Here is a 20,819-nt window from a genome sequence, read left to right as displayed (position 1 = left end):
GAGGAGTGTCAAGAGTGGGCCTGTGACCCATTAGGAGAAGCCAACAAGTTTGGTCTTTTTCACATAGACAATGGAGAGCCAATAGAGGATTTAACTGGGGAGCTGCTCACTTGGCAAATATAGCATGGGAACAGGGCTCATCTGCTAGACAAGAGTTCCAGTGGGGAGGTCATGTGGTCAGTGCCTGGAGACGCTGTGAGATTTAGGTGGAGAAACCTTTATGATGAGGCTGCAGACCAACTGTACTGCCCACCTTGCTAATCAACTCTGCAGGCCAGTAGGAAAGTGTATGTCCGGGTGCAGTGGCTCACGTCTGTAATCCCAGCACTTTGGAAGGCCGAGGCGGGCAGATTACGAGGTCAGGAGATCGAGACCATCCTGGCCCACATGGTGAAACCCTGTCTCTACTAAAAATACAAAAATTAGCCGGGTGTGGTGGTGTGCACCTGTAATCCCAGGAGAATCTCTTGAACCTGGGAGACAGAGGTTGCAGTGAGCTGAGATCATGCCACTGCACTGCAGCCTGGTGACAGAGTGAGACTCCACCTCAAAAAAAAAAAAAAAAAAATAGATAAAGTATGGACGACTCAACAAACTTCAGTCCCTACAGCTGGTTGGAAGGGCAGTGTCGAAAGTACATCTTGTCCCATTAAGGGTGGCACATAATCATTAACAGTAGATCATGCTCAAGCCAATATATAAACGTGGACATAAACTCATGGAAGTTTAGAGCAGAAAGGTTCTTATACCATCTTTTCATTAAGTTTTATTTTTCCATTGAGTTCTGAGACTAATAATCCTCCTCCTTTCCCCCTTTTCTAATGATCAAGGACCTTCTTTTATTTTAAAGATGGGAAAATTGAGATCCTGAAAATGTACACGAATTGCTCCGGGTCCCACTTGTGGCCAACAGCAGCGTTAGAACTCCCGAAGGCACACGTGGGGCTGTGACTCTCTGATTATGAAAGGACACCATTGCAAAGTACCTATAAGTGGGGATAGACTGATACAATTGCTTAGGAAACTTATGGAGGAAAACACACACACTCTCTTCTTCTTCTTGAATTATCTTGATCCCCAGACCAGAGGTTATTGATTTGCCAGCCATGTTTTCTCAGTTTCTGCAAGATTGGCCTTCATATCCTGGGAAGAGATAACAGGACAGTGAGAGGAGTGGAGAAAACACCTCCCTTCTTTCATTGCTGCCTGTTCCATTCAGGGAGCCCCTGTGACTCCAAAAGTGGCCTTTCTCCTCTGAGCATCTTAACAGAGGTTTCAGTAGAGGGTACTATACTAAATAATGCAGCCCTCCTTCTTTCTTCCATGCCAGAGAAGTTTACAAAACAAGGAGGAAGACTTCTACACCTCACAGCCAGGATTCCCTGCTCTGGCTCTCGGCTGCTGCCTCAGGGTGAATCTGTTGCTAGGTCATCGTGGCATCTCTGCAGGTATGTATTTTACATGTAACTCACTAGGAAGGATGAATTCAAAATTTTCTCTTTCACTCCTATCTAGAGCTGCTATATTTAGCAATAAAAACCCAGGAGGTCTAGTTAAATTTGAACTTAAGATAAACAATGAATGCTTTGCTAGTATGAGTATGTCCTAAATATTGTATCATTTGGTGTTTATCTGAAACTTAAATTTAACTGGACATGCTGGTATTTAATGTGACAACTATACTCCTACCATAAGCAAAATGGCCCGTATGCATTTTCTCTGCCCAGAGAGCAATTGCTTACACTTGTTTTTGCTACGATGCTCTGCTTGGAACTTGTTAAAATAGTTGGTCAAAATATGCATGTGCCTCGGGAATTCAAATGCCTGCATTTCTAGAATAGTGTGAGAAATGGAATCCAAATAGCAACACTTCTGATGATGAGTCACCAGCAGTGTATATTTGCCTGCTGCCAGTTCCTTCTTTGACTGGACTGAAAGGTCAGATAAGTGAAAAACAATAGCCAGCCACCGACTTCTACCGGAGCCCAGGCCATTAAGCACCTTTGATTTTCAATGGGCTGTTTTGGTGTTGGTAACCATTATGGTTAATGTGTAATTAGACCATGGAAAACACCTGCTTGAAGCCAGGGCTTGTCCCTGCTCTTTAAACCATATCTTTACTGATTGAACTATTAATAATTTGCTCATACCCGAGAGAAGGGTCGTCCCTTCCCAACCTCAGTCATTTAGAACTAATGTAACCCTTTAAAAGTTACAGAATAAAATTCACACACAGTGAAGGAAAGAAATCGTCTATGGACATGACCCAAGAGCATGGCAAAAGAGTTTCTGGCATGCCCCAAACGCTAATCGAGGTGGCTGGGTAATGTCCTGGTGGAGGAAAGAAGTTGTAACTAAGGCTGACACGTCTTCGGTAGAATTGCATGGTCTCTGGAGAATAGGAGAGTTTGCCAGTGGGGATGGTCAGCTTGGAGTCTTGAGATAGGAAACTCACAGAACAAGAATTCGGTAGTGTTTTTCCAGGGCCTTCCAAGGGAGAGAGGCTGGAATCTGCCAGAAATGTTTTAGGACATTGGAAAAGTTGTCACTGATGGAGAAAGGGTAGTTCATGAGACCTCAGCACAGGTCCGGGTGACAGGCCCTCTACCCGCCACCAACCTCCTTTTCCTTACCCTTTATTTCAGCTCAAGAAGTGATGTTCTTTTTATAATATGGCTTCCCTTTTCAATTTGTTTTTGGGGTTACCAGCACTGACTGTGTTGCATAACCTACCTTCCTTCCTTCTCTCTCTCCTTTCTTCCTTGCTTCCTTCCTTCTCCCCTTCCCTCCTTCCTTCCTTTTTCTTTTATTCTTCTTCCTTCCCCCACTTCTTGTTCTTTTTCCTCTTCTTGTTGCTGTTCTTGTCCTTCTTGTGATCTAATTCTTAGAATACATTTGTCAAGTGGAGTTAATTGTGGTTTGTATAAGAGCCTCTTGTGACTTGGGTTGTATGAGCTGGTTCTCTCTAAGGCTGGATAACTCTCAGAGCACTGGCAAAATCAAGTCCCTGGGCTTGGCATGCTGGAGGGCAGGTCCTGGAACACAGCAGCCACACCTAGGCCTTCTGCCTGGCCTGGCAACAGCTCTGTACTCTCTTGAACTTAGTCAAGAGAACACATGATATGCAGTTTTGTGTTTTATAACCAATCCTGTTTCGTTCCACTTTATGTGAACTTATCGAATTACACAAATCTCTTCTGGAGTGAAAGGAGGTATAAACAAGCAAACAAATACATCAGTGAATACTAGGCATCCACTGGTGGATCATACCCAGTTAAATATACCCAGTGTCCCTATTGCTGATGAATCCGGGACCCCAGCACCACAGATTCGGCACTTCAATTTGCCTGCTGGACATTCCGTTCTCTCAGCCATCTGAAAAATGGGCCCCAGAGCCTTTACATTAAATAGCTATTCACTGCCAGGCTTTTCTTGGCAAGATGCCAATTGGCCAAACTTCCTGTGTGGCTGTGGAAAAGGGGAGTAGCTGTTTTGCAATTGCAAGTGCATATAGAGCAGGTATACCTTTGTAATCACCTTATACATCGTATATGATCTGTGAGGAAGCTGTGCACAAAGGCGGGGGTTCTTACCACAGGGAAGACTGGCTGGCACATCCAATGCCATCACTGCACCGTTCTGGAGATTGTGTTTGCCATGTGGATGCCGAACCAAAAGGAATGTCTGTGGCGATATCTCCAGTTTCCCTCCTTTTGGTTGTATTTTTAGGTCTTATTGCCCAGGAGGCTGACTTTAATAATGTAAGAAGGAGGCGATGAATTTAAGGCTTATTCATCCATTCATGAAATAAATATTAACCAAGTACCTGCTATGTGCCCAGCACTATGACCCCTTTTAGCCTAACAGGAGCAAATGTGAGAAGCAAACATCTTGTTTAGCTGGTTCAGGGGTGACCAACATGTGGTTTGGTAGCCTGGACTGATATCTTGTTAGGTATATTAGAACTGCACATCACCATGAGGTCCTGAAGTTGGGAGTGGAGCCGATGCTAGGACAAAGCTGGGAGGGCAGGACAGGAGAGATGTCCAGACCTAGGCAAGGATCCAGGATGCTCCCCAACATCCAAATCCAAGGCCCCATGCAGAGTACTTGACTCTTATTATCTACATCACATGGTTTGAGCCAGGAAAATAGCTGGCAAGGTAAGTGGTTAAAATACTGGGTATGGTGTCAGGAGCTAGAAAAGCTGTAAGAATGAGAGGGGAAGTGTCAGATAAAACTGCCAGGATGACACAAGAGAAACATCTCTCCATCCATCCATCCATCCATCCATCTATCCATCCATCCATCCATTCATCCATTCACCCACCCATCCATCCACCCATCCATCCATCCATCGATCCATCCATCATTCCATCTACCCACTCATCCATCCACCTATCCACCTGTCTGTCCATCCATCCATCCATCCACCCACCCACCCACCCACCCACTCATCTTTCCATCCATCCACCCATTCATCTATCCATCCACTCATCCATGCATCCACCCATCCATCCATTCATCCATCCAACAATCCATCCATCCATCCATCCACCAATCCATCCATTCATCTATCCATCCATCCATCCATCCATCCATCCTTCCATCCGCCCATCCATCCATCCATCCATCCATCCACTCATGCATCCATCCATCCATCCATCCATCCATCCATCCATCCATTCACCCACCCGTCCATCCATCCATCCATCCACCCACCCACCCACTCACCCATCCACTTATCCATCCACCCATCCACCCATCCACCCACCCATCCACTCACCCATCCACCTATCCATCCACCCATCCATCCATCCACCCATCCACCCACCCATCCATCCACCCACCCATTCCTCCATGTATCCATCCATCCATCCATCCATCCATCCATCCATCCATCCATCCATCCACTCATGCATCCATCCATCCATCCATTCACCCACCCGTCCATCCATCCATCCATCCACCCACCCACCCACTCACCCATCCACCTATCCATCCACCCATCCATCCATCCACCCATCCACCCACCCATCCATCCACCCACCCATTCCTCCATGTATCCATCCATCCATCCATCCATCCATCCATCCATCCATCCATCCGTCCACTCATCCATCCATCCATCCATCCATCCATCCATCCATTCATCCATTCACCCACCCATCCATCCACCCATCCATCCATCCAGCCAGCCAGCAAATATTTATCAGTATCCATTCTGTGAAATACAAAGATAAATAAAAACATACTGGTTACCCTTAAGGAGCTTAAAGCATAGTAGGGAAGAAAGGCAATTAATAATGATTATAAATACTAGTTGAGCCTTGCTATGTTCAATGCATTTTTTGTTCCAGTTCCCCAAACCCTTATTCCCATGGGGTGGCACAAAGAGGGCCAGGTGTCATCTGTACCTGCTGTGGGTTGCGTTATGGGAGAGGAGCCCTAAGCCTAGGGAACCCAGATATTTCATAATGGAGAGTAAGCCTACCTGCTCTTTACATTGAAGGGAGACACTATATCTTCTGAGGCTATTTGCTTTGCAAACATTCTTGAAAAGATTGTAACCAAAGCAGTGTCTCTGCTCAGAAGACGTGCAGAAACACAAAAGACTCTTGGAAAAATGCTTCCCAACAATGAGAGGCTTTATTTTTTAGGATGACAGTGTTTTGGAAACAGTGAGAAACAGATACTGAGAGAAGTCCCTAGCCTGGGTACCCAGAGAGCCTTTTACCTTCCTCTGGTAGGACTCAATCCTGGTGTTGGTTACCCTAGACCAGGCCAGTGAAACAGGTAAGTCCAGAAGAGGGAACAGGGGTGGCAGCATTGGATACTCTCTCTCCTACTGGTGAATCAAATGCTTTACTTTATGAAAAACATGGATTCATCCTATTAGCATGTTGGAGCAAGTATCTAAATAGAAAAATAGTCCACCCTGGGGAGGCATGTGGGGTAGAGCAGGGTATATTGTCTACATTTCAATGTGATGATCTCAGGGAAGCAAGGACATTAAAATCTGTTGAGGATCTATAATGTACCCGGTGGTGCAATCATTTCTACAAACTTCATTTCATTTAATCTCATAGGAACTTTTTTTTGTTGTGGCAAAATACACATAACATAAAATTTACCATTGAAATCATATTAAAGTGTACAATTCAGTGGCATTAAGTCCATTCATGAGGTTGTGCAACCATCACCATGATCTTGTGTGAGAACATTTTCATCACCCCAAACCAGAAACCCTGTACCCATGAAGCAGGTACTCCACATTCCTCCTGCCCCAGCCCTGGAAACCATTCATCTGTTTCTGTCTCTGTGGCTTTGTCTGTTCTGAATAGTCACCATCATCTTTGATAGAGATCCTGTTATTCCCAGTTTACAGATGAGGAAGCTGCAGCTCGGAGGAGCTCACCTCCTGTCCAAGCTTGCAGAGGTGGCAGGGGGTGGATGTGATGGGTCTGTATGAGCTCCCTAGGTGGACGAGGAAGGTCAGTCAGTCTTGTTGCCCTCACGTCACCTTCAGGAGCACACCCACTGTTACTGTGTTCAGGGAAGAGGAGAGGAAGTAGGACTCCTACCCACCGGGCATGAATCAGAGGGAGGCAGGAAGGAGAGGGGCTCCAGGTGGAGAGAGGGTCCAGGCTGTGGGTAGCAGAGGCTGGTCAGCAGCAGGGTCAGGCCCCACGGTGGTGAGAGGCTCTCTCTTGCTAGAGTGGTGCCTGGGGCAGGGCAGCACTGCTGCAGCGGGAGCTTCTAGTGCAGCGGGCTTTGGCCCACATGCCCCCATTTAACAGCTTTGTTTACTTGGGTGGGTCCCCCAAGCAGACGCTCTGGGAAGGCAGCCAGTTCAGGTTTCTTTTTCTTCAGGGAAACCAGACCTGTCTTTGGCTGAAAGTCTCTCTGGTGTGCTGCCAACACCTCCAGGCTGTCTGGGGGGCTGAGTGCCTGAGTGAGAGTTGATGAATGGCCTCAGGTCAGAGACATCTGCCAACGAGTGAGCTGAGGGAGCCTTTTGTTCATTTCCTGGGAACCTGCGGGAAGTTGGGGCAGGGCGCTGCCCACCCAGTGCAGGCTGGGCCCTCAACATTCCCTTCTCCATGAGCCTCACAGGGTCACTTTCTGGGCCTTTACTCAAGCTGCTGGAACTCAGGGAGCCCCTTTACTTGCTTGGGGGTGCATGGTAGGTGTTTGGGGGTGTTCCTTCACAGATTCTTAAAACTCAAGAGGCTCACAGTCTCTCCTCTGTGGAATGTGGGCCTCCTCCTACCCTCAATCTACCTGGGAAGCAGAGTGGGGAGGAAAATGTGGGCCCGTCCCGGGTGTCCTAACTCATCCTCTGTAGAGGGACCCTCCTCCTTGAGTATCTCTCTCACCCAGGGTGTGGCATCCCTTGGTCCCGAGGGTCCTCAGAGGGTTAAAGCGTTGAACAAAAAGAGCCCTTCCAGATGGGCTGTGCCGTAGCAGCTGTCGTGAAGGGCCCCGCCAGCCCCCGTGGGCCTCTGGACACAATCATGACTGTATCTGGCTGTGTCTGACTCCAATCAGATGAGCTTCGACGTGAGGCATGTGGCTTCCTTCCGGCAATGAACTGTCTGGGGTGAATGTGACCCCCACAGATGTCTGTCTGCCTGCCTCCCTCTCACCTGGCATCTCTGGAAGGAATTTCTAATAGCAGCCTGACCCCATGGGTGAGTGTGCTCCTGGGGGTCAGGACGGTGATCTTACAGAACCTAATGAGGGGGCAGGTGGGCACGGGAAACAGCTGGATGCCTGCAAAGATGATCCTGGGATGAGTACCCTATTCTCACTTGGCATAGCAGGCACAGAGGCAGAGCAGCCCTGGTTCACCCAACCCTGCCACAGGCAGCCATGTAAACTTGAATAAATAAATCCCTTTGCCTCAATGAGCCCTTTCTCATCTGTAAAAGGGGATAATATGTTGCTGAGTTGCCGTGGGTCTTAAATGAGAGAATGCATGTGAAATACCTGGAAAATACATAAGAAATATAAGTAGTTATTCCAGAATAACTAATAATAATACTAAATAATATTGACCTTTCCATCCGACACCAGCTTATTCTGAAAGAATAAACAGGTTTACTCAGGGCGCAGTACCTCTGGGCGAGTCCTGAGCCTGTCCCAGCCTTTCCTGGGCCGTTTCTCTGATGTGTCCCCTGGTCTGGCCTCTGTTTGACTCAGCAGGGGACACTGCACTCTGTGTTTCTGACTCCCAGACCTCTCTCTGGGAAGAAGCCCCTCAAGCGTACAGCTCTATCACTAAAGGCTGCAAGCTGCGTTTCCGATTTCTGAGCGAGCACAGCTGGCATCTGCTCTCCTTCTTGAGCCTGTTGGACTCCTCACCCTCTCTACTTAGCTACTTTTGCTTACAATGCTTGAGCATGGACATCTAATCCTTACTGTCTTGTGGCTCAGGAGGCAGAGTAGTAGCATGGTGCTACTAGTGTGCTTTGGACCTAGATGGATGGTTTGGGTTCAAGTGCTGGCTCCATCATCAGCTCACTCCACTGGTGACATGGGGCAAGTGTCTTCACCTCTCTGCCTTAATTTCACCCTTTCTGAGTTGTGGACATGATCATCTTTCCTATCTACTTCAGGGCTATGGGGAAGATGAGATGAGCTATAGACACACAGGACTCAGAACAGAGCAGGGAAGAGGGGAAGAGATTCATGGCTTTTAATTGTTAGCAAGACCTTAAATCCTATGGGTCTGCCTAGAAACCATCTGGGCTCTGGGCAAAGCCTGGGAGAGGGGGTAGACAGCTGTTCTAGTTCCTAGATATGAGAGCTAGAGCTAGGGTGACGGTAGGAGGGAGGAAGAAAATGAACATTTCTCGATGCCTGTTGGGTGTCAGCCTCCTAGGTGTTTGCCCTGTGTTTATTCCCTTCCCTTGGTGAGAACCCTCAAAGGATGGGGCAAAGGATGTGTTTTGACTCTACGGCCAAGGAGGAAGCCGGATAAGGCAGCTGAGACACCTTGCCCAGTCTCAGTTAGCACATCATGAGTCAGGGTTCAATACCAGGTGTGTCTAAAAAGCCCATTCTTCCCTCATTACCATTCACCTCTCCCTATTGGCTGAAACTGTCAGTTCTGAAACAGAAGGGGGACTGTTATTCCAGACCTATTCACTGTCTCCTTGTTTGGACATATTTTAAGAGCCGCCCTAAGCGATTATGTGACAACTTATAAAAACTAAATACAAGTTCCTCATCGCAAACGTTCCAAACTGCCCTGGCAGCTTTCAGGTCAACTTATTAACCTGCTGAGGGTGGTTCTGCCAGCAATCTGTCCCTCTGTTGACCTGGGGACTTGATTGCACATGTCTGTCATTTATGGCCACAACAAAGTTAGAAAGACTCGTGGCTGGCTCTATGACATTTGTCATTTAACATTAACTTGAGTTTTCATTAAAAAGTGTTCCTTTCACCAGAAAAAAAATGAAGACCGCTCTCCTTCATATTAAAAGCCATCTCGAACCTTCTTATGTTTTCTGGGACTTAGACATCTTCAAAAACAATGAATACTGCCATTTTCATGAATAGCAGTTCCCCAGGCTTGGGTAGACAAAAGCCTCCAGTAACTGAGGCTGTAGAAATGGAAGCTTGGAAGACAGGGAGCTGGCCCATGTGGTAAGTGGGAGATACTTCGGCTATGGAAATCCCAGGAGACGTGCAGCATGGGGCAGTCCAGGAAGGCAGCCCAAGTCAGCTCATCCCCGAGACATGAAGAGAGGAGTTAGGCGGCTGACACCGCAGTTATCAAGAGCAAGCTGCTCCTGTGAGTGGGGAATGAAATCTGGGGGGCAGAGGGATTCAGAGGAAGGTGGAGACTCAGACCCCTCCCTGGGGAGCTCTCTGGAGTAGGGCTGATGTCAGAGAATGGCACTGGAAAGAAAGCCTCTGTGTTTGGTTCCACCGGGTCAGGGGCGCTTCTTCTGGAGGAAGGCAGAGGAAGGCGAAAGCAACCTCTTATTGAAATGCGGAAACCTCCCCACGTGCTCATCAATTACCAGGCCAAAGTAGGTGGAAATAGCTCCCCTCGCCTTCCCTCTGCAAACCGTCATTCCCACCCTTCCTTCCTGGTCTGTGGACTGTCATCTCCAGACAAAAGAAGACGCAGCTAAGCGCAGCCCCTTCACACACCCAGGACACAACAGAGTGGGTGGCAAAAAAAGACGTGGCTCGGGGAGGGAGGGAGGAGAGGCAGCTGGCTGCCTCTGAGGCCACAGACAGAGGCCAGTGCTCCGTCCTCATCCTAGAATGCTGCAGCTGGGAAGGACCCCAGGGCCTAGTTGCACTCATCTGCCGGGGAACCAAGATCCAGAGGAGGAGATGTGAGCATACAGCCTAACGTAGGCTGAGCTGCACAATTTGTTCATTCAGCAGTGGAGCCAGTGTCTCTTGGAGCAAAGGTGGGAGCTAACCCTTGAGCAAATTTTCTTGGATCTTCTGCAGATATTTGCTTCTGAGGGAGGCAATTTTGGTGGCCTGGCTGAAATTGGCTTACAGTGCAAGAGAAATACCTCCTTTGGCTAAAACTACTTTTCTTTTCTTTCTTTTTTCATTTTTTTTTTTTGAGACAGAGTATCGCTCTGTCTCCCAGTCTGGAGTGCAATGGCACAATCTTGGCTCACTGCAACCTCCACCTCCAGGTATAAGTAATTCTCATGTGAAACACCCCTGAGTAGCTGGGATTATAGGTGCCTGCCACCACATCCAGCTAATTTTTGTATTTTTAGTAGAGACGGAGTTTCACCATGTTGGCCAGGCTGGTCTTGAACTCCTGGCCTCGAGGGATCCACTGGCCTTGGCCTCCCAAAGTGCTGAGATTACAGGCATGAGCCACCACGCCCGGCCTGAAACTACTTTCCTTTAGGTATATAAGGAAACACCAACTAAACCTCTACCAACAGACAAATCCATGAGTGGATGTGGTCGGTGGTGACTGTCCCAGCTCTTCCACTTAGGCTGTGCTCCCCGCATGTTCTGAGCAGGTTACATTGCGTCCTGACCACAGCTCAGTGCCGCAGGCATTGCTATCACTCCCCGTGCCAGTCAGGGCCCTTCAAGAGCAGATGCCAAGATGGGGTTAGATGTCCCCGAGATGTATCGGGCAGGAAGTCCATGAAGGTAAAAGCGGAGGGTCGGTGTGGGTCTGGCATCTGTAGAAGGAGAGACTGGGTAGAAAGAGCCACAGACAGCACTGCGGGGAACTACCCTCCACGAAGCAAGTTGCTTGTTGGAGGACTCGGTGTCCAGCAGGAGTGGCCTGGAACTAAAGCCCCCTGGTGGCCAGTCCCTTTCTGGGCACAGCCTGGGGGATTTGGTGGCCAGGCCCCTGCAGCAGCCATCCCAGCTCCCCTCCCTGGGGTGGAGTGGGGTGACCATAGGAACATCGTCACCCCTACTCTGAACGCTTACTCAAGACAAGGTCAGGCAGGTTCTCTTGAAGGAGGTCCGAACAGCATTTCTGTGGCTTACAGATTAGGAAACTGAGGCAGAGAGGTCCAAGTGTTTTGGTGGCTGCTGTTGTGAGGAGGCATACATGAGCCTTTGAAAGATTCTGAGATCATGGAACAAAAGGTTTTTGTCTCTTAGATCCAGATTTCAAATAATTCACAGTCTTTTCATTGTTGATGTGGCCTGGTTAATGTCACTACTCATTCTGATTGTCAACTTTCATTCCTGAAAGGCTGCTGGGTGACAGCAGGAATGCCTCTGCACTGTTGGCCCTGTGGGCATTGGATAAGCCTGGGTGCTGGGGCAGGCGCCAGGCCAGGTCCTGGGTGGCCTCTGTAGTGAAATGCAGCCCTGGTTACCTCCAGCCTCCATCTCTCCTGGGGAGATTAACATTATTGAATCTCTACAACATCCTAGAACACCCTAGACAGGAGGTCTTTTTTTTTTTTTTTTTTTTTTTTGAGACAGGGTCTCACTCTGTCATCCAGGCTGGAATGCAGTGGCAAAATCATGGCTCACTGCGGCCTTGAACCCCCGGGATCAAGCAATCCTCCAGCCTCAGCCTCCCAGGTAGCTGGATCAGCAGATGCGCACCACCGTGATCAGCTAATTTTCTTCATTTTTTTTGTAGAGTTGAGGTCTCACTAAGTTGCCCAGGCTGGTCTGGAACTCCTGGACTCGAGCAATCCCCCCGCCTTGGCCTCCCAAAGTGCTGGGCTTACAGACATGAGCCACCGTGTCCAGCTGACAGGAGGTCTTAACATCCTTGTTTTTCGGACGAGGAAACTGAGGCGTGGAGAGGTGGAGACTTACACAAGATCATAGAGCGAATAGAGGGCAGAGCTGGAGTCTGAAGTCAGTCTGACCGACCATGAAACTCACATGTCATCCTGACACCATTCCAATCCTGTGAGGTAAGGATTATCATCCCTGTTTCATAGATGAGGAGACAGGGGCTCAGAGAGGGGGACTTATGTTCTTGAGGTCACACAGCATGTCCATCGCAGCAGTGGGGCTGGAGCCCAGCTTCTCAGACTCCAAGGGCCCCAGGAAAACCTTTCATCCTGTTTCAGCCAAGCGACTGCACTCAGAGGAAGGCACAGGCCCTGGGATGACGGGAACCTTTTGTTCTCTGGTCCCTGATTCCTGACCCCAGTCCCCACCTCCAGCTCTGTGGAGCTGGCAGACGGAGGAACAAGGAGGGACATCCTGCCTTTCCTGCCCCTTTGTTCCATGGTCTGGGGCCCTGACTCTGCAATACCAGGGTGATCACTGAATCAAGAATTAGGAGGCTGGTCCACGTCTTTGTGTCACTCTCCTGACCTTGGGTCACTGATTTGTAAAGTGCGGAGGTGAGGATGCAGCGAGGGGAAGGCTTTGGCACCAGCTTGGGGTTGTAGAACCACATGGGGCAATGCGAGTATTATTATCTTTGTGTTGTCTTCCTCCTGCCCCATGGCCTGGCCTCAATGCATCTGCTTGTCTGCAGCCCCAACCAGCGTGGAAAGCCACCTGGCAGGCCGCTTCGGACCTGCAGTGGGCCCCCACCCCCCATGCCCCCCCATCCCCTCCGGTGGCTGGTCTGGCCTGATGGAGCATATTTCTCACAGCTCTCTTGCTCTCCAGCCCTCCCCTCACCGAGCACTCTGCCCCCACCCTGCTTAGGGGAGAGTCTGTGACCCCCAGAGCAGGCTTCTGTGCTTCATCCCCCAGGGGAAGATTCCAGAGCAGACAACTCAGCTGCCTTTGTGACTGAAACCGAGAGTAAATGAAGGAATATTTATGAAGTCTCTGCAACTTGCCAGGTGCTTTCACTATGCAACCCTCCCTGCAGCAGTCCCGAGAATGTGATCCTGAGTTTACTTCTGATGAAAGCAAGGCTCAGAGGGGCCACCTGCCTAAGGGCGTGCAGCTGGAATGCGGGGAGCCAGGACTCAAGCTCTGGTCTGTCTCATTCACTTGGAAGCCAGGCCCCTTTCCTCCCTCCCGCTCTGCGTGCAGGAGCTCCGTGGTGGGGCAGCTGCCCCGAGGGAAGGTCCTTCTGACCGCCAGTGTCTGTGGCTGGCTGTCCAGGAAGCAGAGCCAGGACTGGCAGCTTGGGCTCCGAGGACTGCCTCTTCCTCTTGGCTGCCAGGGAGTTTCCAATCATCAGAAGAAACAGACTCTGGGAACAGCTCTGCCACTTGTCCCAGCCCTGCCCCAGCCTCTGAGCAACTGGAGCCCAGATGCCCTGGCCCACCCTAAGCTATCCATAAGCACAGGTGGGCCTGAAGGAGGCTCCCTGCTGGGCGTGGGCGAGGGTCTTGGCCTTCTAGGTGGGACCCTGCCTGCCAGGGGACAGCCTCTTAGGTGGGTGGGAAAGAGCTCTGTACTTGGGGTCACAAATGTGGCTTCTGGCCCTGCTCCACCAAGGGCCAGTGCGTGATTTTAAATAGATCTCTTCGCCTCTCTGAGCCTTAGTTTCTTGGTCTATAAAAAAATGGGACCCTAACCTCTCCTCACTGCGGTGTGGGAGGGAAAATGAGTCAAGGCAAGAAAGTGCTGGAAACTGAAAGCCCTGGGCAGGACCTGCTCCATAATTTGCCAAGTTCAGGGCAAAAATGAAAAGGTGGGGCCGGGCGCCCTGGCTCACACCTGTAATCCCAGCACTTTGGGAGACTGAGGAAGGCAGATCACTTGAGGTCAGGAATTTGAGACTAGCTTGGCCAACATGGGGAAACCCTGTCTGTACAAAAAATACAAAAAATTAGCCAAGCGTGCTGGCGCGCCTGTAGTCCCAGCTTTGCAAGAGGCTGAGGTGGGAGGATGGCTTGAGCCTGGGAGGTGGAGGCTGCAATGAGCTATGACCGCGCCACTGTACTCCAGCCTGGGCGACAGAGCGAGACCCGTTCAAAAATACATAACAACATAGCATAACATATAAAATAAAATGTAAATCAAAAATAAAAATGAAAAAGTGGGTCCCCTTGTTCACAAATTGTGAATTTCAAGGCCGCGGTGGCGGAGCGTTAAACCAAGCTCAGGGTCGCACGCCCTGAAGCCGGCGCTGGGCTGGAGTCCGGAACTGTGGAGGGTCCCCGCGGAGCCGCCGCTTTGGCTCCCTGGCCCGGACCTGACATCCACGCGACGGATCCCGGCGCATTCGGCGAGGCGCCGGCTCCATCTAGCGGCTGATGGCGAACAGCACCTGCCGCTCACACGCTGGTGGGCCTGGGGGCGCCTCAGACTCACACCCGCGGCTCGGTTTTCATCCCTCTCCATCGGTTACCACGTTCTCTCCATGGTCCTCCAGGGTCTCTCACTTGCTCCTGCCCTGTCATGAGTACTTTGGTCTACTCATTCGCCCACTTCCCCTGTTTTCTCGGGTGGTCCAGGAGGGCGGTGCGGTTCCTTGAAGTTCCCACGGTCCCTCGCAAGCTGTTCTCTTGCGGTCTCTGGAGGCACCCTGCCTGCAGCCCCTTTCCAGCCTGCAGCGCCATCTCACGCACCACCCCCTCGGAGCTCTTCTGTGGCTCTCTGCCACCTGCCGGGCAGGCCCGTTTCCTTCGTCCGGCATCACACCCTGCCCATCCCATCCCTCCCGCCTGTCCCACCCTGCGGCGTCCCATTTCCGCGCCAACCCGGCTATCAGCCTTCAGCGTCCCTGGCAGCCTCTGCCCCATGCACACCACTCCCCTGAGCGAGACTTCCCTTCTCCTGCCCGCGTTTCCCCCGGCCCACCTCTGACAGGAAGCCTTCCAGGATTACCAGAACCCCCAGGGTTGTCCTCCCTTTGTGTGAACAGCAGGGGGGAGGTGTCGGAGACAAAACGCCTCTGTTGGAGTGGGAGGTAGCCAGAGTAGGGGCGCGTGTAGAATGGGCTTTGGGATTGGACCAGCTGACCTGAAACCTGTCTCCATCACTTCTGAGTCGGTTTCCTTGTGGATAAAGTGGGACATCAAATGAAATAGGATTTTTTTTCTTGGTGAGAATTAAATTAGATAATTTATATTAGGCATTCAGAGTGGTGTCTGGCTCATTATGAGCACCGAATAAACGTTGCTATGGTCATTATCATTATCATTATTAAGTTCTGAACCCATTAATTACTGGCAGTGCGACCTCGGGCTGGTGGTTTTACCTTATTGAGCTCTCCCTGTCTGGAAAAAGGGGAGTTTATTTCTATTTGTATATCAGAGGGTGGTTGTGTTAGTAAATTAGGTGCTGTTCTTCGGTGCTGACAGTAGAAGTTGCTCCAGAAATGCTGTCCCTCTCTCCACCCTGCTCTGACCACCCATCAGAGTGCCCTCGCACAGTTCCTTCTTGGTTATCTAGAATCATCTAATTTTGGTACAGATTTGTTTTTTTTTTGAGACAGAGTCTCACTCTGTCACCCAGCCTGGAATGCAGTGGTGAGATCATGGCTCACGACAGCCTTGAACTCCTGGGCTCAAGCGATCCTTCTGCCTCAGCCTCCCGAGTAGCTAGGACTACAGGTGCGCTCCACCACACCCCTAATTTTCTTCATTTTTTTGTCTCACTATGTTGCATAGGCTGGTCTAGAACTCCTGGGCTCAAGTGATCCTCTCATTGTGGCCTCCCAAAATGCTGGGATTATAGGCCGTGCCCAGCCTGATACAATTGTTAAACTTCTGTGTTTCTTCAACCAAACATTAACACCCTGAAGGACATATTTTGGTTTTAATGGGTATGTTAGTCAAGGTTCTCCAGGTAAACAGAACTAACAGGATGTGTGTGTGTGTGTGTGTGTGTGTGTGTGTGTGTGTGTGTGTGTGGAGAGAGACAGATGGACAGACAGACACATCCCCAGAATCATTTATTTATTTTTATTTTTTTGAGACGGAGCCTCGCTCTGTCACCCAGGCTGGAGTGCGGTGGCGTGATCTCGGCTCACTGCAAGCTCCACCTCCCAGGTTCACGCCATTCTCCTGCCTCAGCCTCCTGAGTAGCTGGGACTACAGGCGCCCGCCACCACGCCCAGCTATTTTTTTTTTGCATTTTTAGTAGAGACGGGGTTTCACCGTGTTAGCCAGGATGGTCTTGATCTCCTGACCTCGTGATCCGCCCGCCTTGGCCTCCCAAAGTGCTGGGATTACAGGTGTGAGCCACCGTGCCCGGCCAGACTGATTTATTTTAAGGAATGGGTTTATGTGATTGTGGGGACTGGCAAGTCTAAAATCGAGACCCAGGGAAGAGTTGATGTTGCCGTCCCGAATCGCGTGGCGGTCTGGAGGCAGTGTTCTCTCTTCCTTGGGGGACTTATGTTCTCTCAGTTGAGGCCTTCAACTGATTGGATGAGGCCCACCCACATTATGGAGGATAGCTTGCTGTACTCAAAGTCTACTGATTTAAATGTTAGTCTCAGCTGAAAAATACCTCCACAGCAATGCCAAACAGACTGATGTTTGACCAAAAACTGGTTACCATGGCCTTGCCAAGTTAACACATAAAATTCGCTATTACGGTGGGCTAGCATTTACTACATAAGGACTTTATCCCCTTTATTCATTCCTCCTCTGCCCCCCTTTCACCTCCCCGCTTCCTTCTTTCCTCCTTTTACTTTCTTTCTTGACCACAGCAAGTTTAGTGTTCTCTCTTGCTCTTCTGCTTAGAATCCACATTTGTCTGTCTTTCCCCGGCTCTCCCCCAGCACTTGCCTAGTCTGTGTCATTGTGAACAGTGAGGGGCTTTGACCCTCAGGTAGAGCAGGGAGCGGGTTGGGGTGGACTGCATACTCTTCGTTCTCAAACCCCTGCCTTAAAATCCTTGTCCCCCTTTAGGCGTTCTCATGGACACCAGCTGAATATAGTTCACACTGGAGGGAAGAGTGACACAGGATTGCAGACCTCTGTTTCTCGCCTGCACTAGTCTGGATAAGGGGTCCCGACTGGGCTTTGGGATGAGGGCAGAAGGGGTAGACTGGAGTTGGCAGGCTTCCTGCTGGGAGTAGAGAGTGATGAGATGTAGCTGGAGAAGCATGGCGGGGAATAAAGTGGCCAGAAGAAACACTAGAGGGTTAGACGACGGGGCTTATTAATGGAAAGTGTCAGGTTGCAAGTTACAGAAAGTTCAACTAGAATTGCCTTTAAAAAGTGAATTTCGGCCTGGAGTGGTGGCTCACGCCTGTAATCCTAACACTCTGGGAGGCCGAGGCAGTCAGATCACCTGAGGTCAGGAGTTCGAGGCCAGCCTGGCCAACATGGCGAAATCCTGTCTGTACTAAAAATACAAAAATTAGCTGGGTGTGGTGGCATGCACCTGTAATCCTAGCTACTTGGGGGGCTGAGGCAGGAGAATTGCTTGAACCTGGGAGGCGGAGGTTGCAGTGAGCCAAGATCGCACCACTGCACTCCAGCCTGGGCAATAGAACGAGACTCTGTCTCAAGAAAAAAAAAAAAAAAAAAAGAAAAGCAAATTTCTTGATATTTATGGATACGTGCAATGAACACTAGAAGTAAATGTAACTTCATATGAAGCTTGATCTGCAGTTCAATGACATCAGCAACCCATTCTTTCATCCCTCTGCCTTGAATCACTGTGGTCTCTTTACCTACATTTCTAGCTTGGCTTCCCTGCAGATTACAGAATGGTGGCCTATAGGTCCCAGGGCTCTGTGTTTTTCATTCATGTCAGGCAGGACAATGAGCAACTTTCATTGTTCTCAGTAAAAGCCCTAACATTCCATGCTATTTGCGTGAGTTTAGGTTTTAAGCCTATTCCTAAAATTTCACTGTGGCCAGAGGCATGGGAGGTAATGATTGGCTTAGTCTTGGTCCCTATGTTTTATTCTAGAACTGGGACCTGTAGCATATCATGGGTCTTCAGGATCCTACCCGGTGGGGCTGGCTGCCTCTCGGGCTCCCCCCAGTCTTCAAGTTCTGAGCTTTGTTGGTCCCCAGTAAGGCAATGGAGCAGACTGCAGGGCTAGCTGAAGTCTGCCAGTTAGGTTGAGCCTTATTTTGATGTGGAAGGACATGCTTATTTCAGCTCCTCTAAGAAACCCATATGGCCATCTTTGCACAAGTCCTTGGCATGATTCCTTTTACAGGAGGAATAATTTGGCTCAGATTTGTGGGTTTGTTTTCATTGCTTTTTACTAATAGTTTTCATAGCATCTGCTTCCTGACACCTTCTGGTGTTTGTATATCATCAGAGCTAGTTTTAGGAATAGGTGGAGAATGGTCTTTATGCTCTGTAAGAAATAAAGCTGGGCATGGATTTTGGAGCTTGGCAGACTTTTAAGCCCACTTCCTGCTGTGTATGTAATTCCTTCTATGACTCTGGGCATCATTTTTTCATCTGAAAAATAGGTGCCTAGGATACCTGCCCCGCAGGGTTGTCATGAGACTCAAAAAAGATGTTGTCCATGGAGAACCCCATGATCCAAATCATGTCAAGCTCAGTGGTCTGCTCTTCAGAGAAGACTTACTCTCCACCCGCAGCCACCCTGTATACTCTTTAGCATGCCACACATTTATGCATGCCATTTCATCTAAAATAATTTCATTTGTCATCAGTTTCCTCCTGCTAGAATATGAAGTTTATGAAAGCAGGACACATGTCTGTCTTATTCATCATAAGTTACTGTTGTGAGCAACTGGGGCTCAGTCCTACCAGGGAAGTCTAGGAGATGATATAGAAGAGACCTCAGAGTTCTTCCTGCTGAGAGGAGAAGGATCTGGGATATTTGTCCACCAAGTCCCATCGGTCATTGGCCAAGGGCTTCTTCTAGGAGGTGTTGATGACCTGATCCTTTGGACTGATATGTCCATGGCAGAATGGCCCTGTGTCTTAGTCCATTTGTGTAGCTATAAGGAATACCCAAGGCTGGGTAATTTATAAAGAAAAAAAGCCTAATTTGGCTCACGTTTCTGGTGGCTGGAAAGTTTGATTGGGCATCTGCATTTGGTGAGGGCTTCAGGCTGCTTCCACTCATAGTGGAAGGTGAAGGGGAGCTGGGTGTGCGCAGATCACACGGTGAGAGAGGAAGTGAGGAGTGGGGCGGAGGGGTGGTGGTGATGCCAGGCTCTTTAACAACCACTCTTGAAGGAATTAACAGAGTAAGAACTCACTCAGCCCCAAGAGAGGGCCTTCATCTAGTCCTGAGGGACCTGCCCCCATGACCCAAACACCTTATCTTAGGCCCCCTTTCAACATTGGACATAAATGTCAACATGAGGCTTAGAGACTCAAATACCCAAAACATAGCGGGCTGTCATGGACACACTCTGTGATGGTTAGAGTCACAGACAAAAACTCTCGGGTGATTGCACTTGGCAGCAGTTGAGTCTACCTGCAGGGTGATGGTGAGTACCAAGGGGATTGGGCAAAGTGTCCATAGCACCTGCTGCACAGTTGAGTCCCCATCAGCAGGCGTGATGGTGAGAATTTGTTGGATGGTTCAAGAGGAGCAGGATCCCTCCAAGAAGACAAGTGGGAGATGAGGCCAATACGCTCTCATTGCTGCAACGTGTCCTTTCCCTGCTCTTCATTAGGACAACCATCTCCCTTTCTGTTGTTTATCCATCTGAGGACTACTTTTAAAACTTCCATCCACAATGAATTCTCTCTGAATATCTAAGCTGCTGATTTTCCTCTCAGTTTTAAGTGCCCAGGGCTGATGCTGGTGTCTTACTTGTGGTCTGGCTAACACAGGGAGAGGGGTACCAGTACTTCCTCTGCTCTAGAGCAGGGGTTTGCAGCCATAGGTGTGCATTGGAATCACCTGGTGAGCCTTTACAGCATACTGATCCTCAGGGCCTCACCTCCAGATATTCTGATGCAATTCATTTGGGATAAGGCCCAGGCATTTGGCACTTCAAAAACATTCCCCTCCTCTGCTCCCCAGGTGATTCTGACATGCAGCCAGCGGGGAAGGAAGGCAGCCACTGACCTAGATTTTTTTTTTTTTTTTTTTTTTTGAGACAGAGTTTTGCTCTTGTTGCCCGGGCTGGAGTGCAATGGTGTGATCTTGGGTCACCGCAACCTCCACCTCCCGGGTTCAAGCGATTCTCCTGCCTCAGCCTCCCGAGTAGCTGGGATTACAGGCACTCGCCACCACGCCTGGCTAATTTTTGTATTTTTTAGTAGAGATGGGGTTTCTCCACATTGGTCAGGCTGGTCTCGGACTCCCGACTTCAGGTGATCCGCCAGCCTCGGCCTCCCAAAAATTTGGAATTACAGGCATGAGCCACCGTGCCCGGCCTGACCTAGACCTTATATAGGCACCTGACACAGGCACCTGAAAAGGTCAGAGGTATGTCCAGCTTCAGAAGCAGCTTGATCTAGCAGATCAATGATATTATCAAAGGCTCGTTTCTGCTTGCTTTTTTTTT

At 49.6% G+C, this 20,819-nt stretch overlaps 2 long non-coding RNA genes across 5 annotated transcripts, besides 6 other annotated features; both read left to right on the top strand.

The window, feature by feature from the left end:
• LOC107986473 (uncharacterized) lies at positions 842-13,937 on the top strand. Of its 3 annotated transcripts, XR_007059044.1 has the most exons (3): positions 842-1,448; positions 12,116-12,398; positions 13,198-13,937. It is a non-coding gene; the product is annotated as an uncharacterized LOC107986473 (long non-coding RNA). The 3 variants fall into 3 exon arrangements; XR_001742974.1 differs by lacking the exon at positions 842-1,448 and having other exon boundaries at positions 11,988-12,398; XR_001742975.1 differs by lacking the exon at positions 842-1,448 and having other exon boundaries at positions 11,988-12,398; positions 13,176-13,937.
• Positions 6,328-7,212: an enhancer, noted in NCBI's record as "H3K27ac-H3K4me1 hESC enhancer chr5:170179101-170179985 (GRCh37/hg19 assembly coordinates)". NCBI's record gives its function as "activates a minimal SCP1, AML or CMV promoter by ChIP-STARR-seq in primed H9 embryonic stem cells {active_cell/tissue: H9 hESC(primed)}" and the evidence as "EXISTENCE:reporter gene assay evidence [ECO:0000049][PMID:30033119]".
• LOC107986474 (uncharacterized) lies at positions 6,903-7,910 on the top strand. 2 transcript variants are annotated; one of them, XR_001742977.2, is made up of 2 exons: positions 6,903-7,186; positions 7,552-7,910. It is a non-coding gene; the product is annotated as an uncharacterized LOC107986474 (long non-coding RNA). The 2 variants fall into 2 exon arrangements; XR_001742976.2 differs by having other exon boundaries at positions 7,384-7,910.
• Positions 7,213-8,097: an enhancer, noted in NCBI's record as "H3K27ac-H3K4me1 hESC enhancer chr5:170178216-170179100 (GRCh37/hg19 assembly coordinates)". NCBI's record gives its function as "activates a minimal SCP1, AML or CMV promoter by ChIP-STARR-seq in primed H9 embryonic stem cells {active_cell/tissue: H9 hESC(primed)}" and the evidence as "EXISTENCE:reporter gene assay evidence [ECO:0000049][PMID:30033119]".
• Positions 9,481-10,238: an enhancer, noted in NCBI's record as "H3K27ac-H3K4me1 hESC enhancer chr5:170176075-170176832 (GRCh37/hg19 assembly coordinates)". NCBI's record gives its function as "activates a minimal SCP1, AML or CMV promoter by ChIP-STARR-seq in primed H9 embryonic stem cells {active_cell/tissue: H9 hESC(primed)}" and the evidence as "EXISTENCE:reporter gene assay evidence [ECO:0000049][PMID:30033119]".
• Positions 12,518-13,276: an enhancer, noted in NCBI's record as "H3K27ac-H3K4me1 hESC enhancer chr5:170173037-170173795 (GRCh37/hg19 assembly coordinates)". NCBI's record gives its function as "activates a minimal SCP1, AML or CMV promoter by ChIP-STARR-seq in naive H9 embryonic stem cells {active_cell/tissue: H9 hESC(naive)}" and the evidence as "EXISTENCE:reporter gene assay evidence [ECO:0000049][PMID:30033119]".
• Positions 13,277-14,036: an enhancer, noted in NCBI's record as "H3K27ac-H3K4me1 hESC enhancer chr5:170172277-170173036 (GRCh37/hg19 assembly coordinates)". NCBI's record gives its function as "activates a minimal SCP1, AML or CMV promoter by ChIP-STARR-seq in naive H9 embryonic stem cells {active_cell/tissue: H9 hESC(naive)}" and the evidence as "EXISTENCE:reporter gene assay evidence [ECO:0000049][PMID:30033119]".
• Positions 14,796-15,555: an enhancer, noted in NCBI's record as "H3K4me1 hESC enhancer chr5:170170758-170171517 (GRCh37/hg19 assembly coordinates)". NCBI's record gives its function as "activates a minimal SCP1, AML or CMV promoter by ChIP-STARR-seq in primed H9 embryonic stem cells {active_cell/tissue: H9 hESC(primed)}" and the evidence as "EXISTENCE:reporter gene assay evidence [ECO:0000049][PMID:30033119]".

This window comes from Homo sapiens, chromosome 5, assembly GCF_000001405.40.
Source record: "Homo sapiens chromosome 5, GRCh38.p14 Primary Assembly".
NCBI classification, from domain to species: domain Eukaryota; kingdom Metazoa; phylum Chordata; class Mammalia; order Primates; family Hominidae; genus Homo; species Homo sapiens.
Note: the sequence above shows the minus strand (reverse complement) of the source record. Positions and strands in the feature narration are given on the sequence as shown.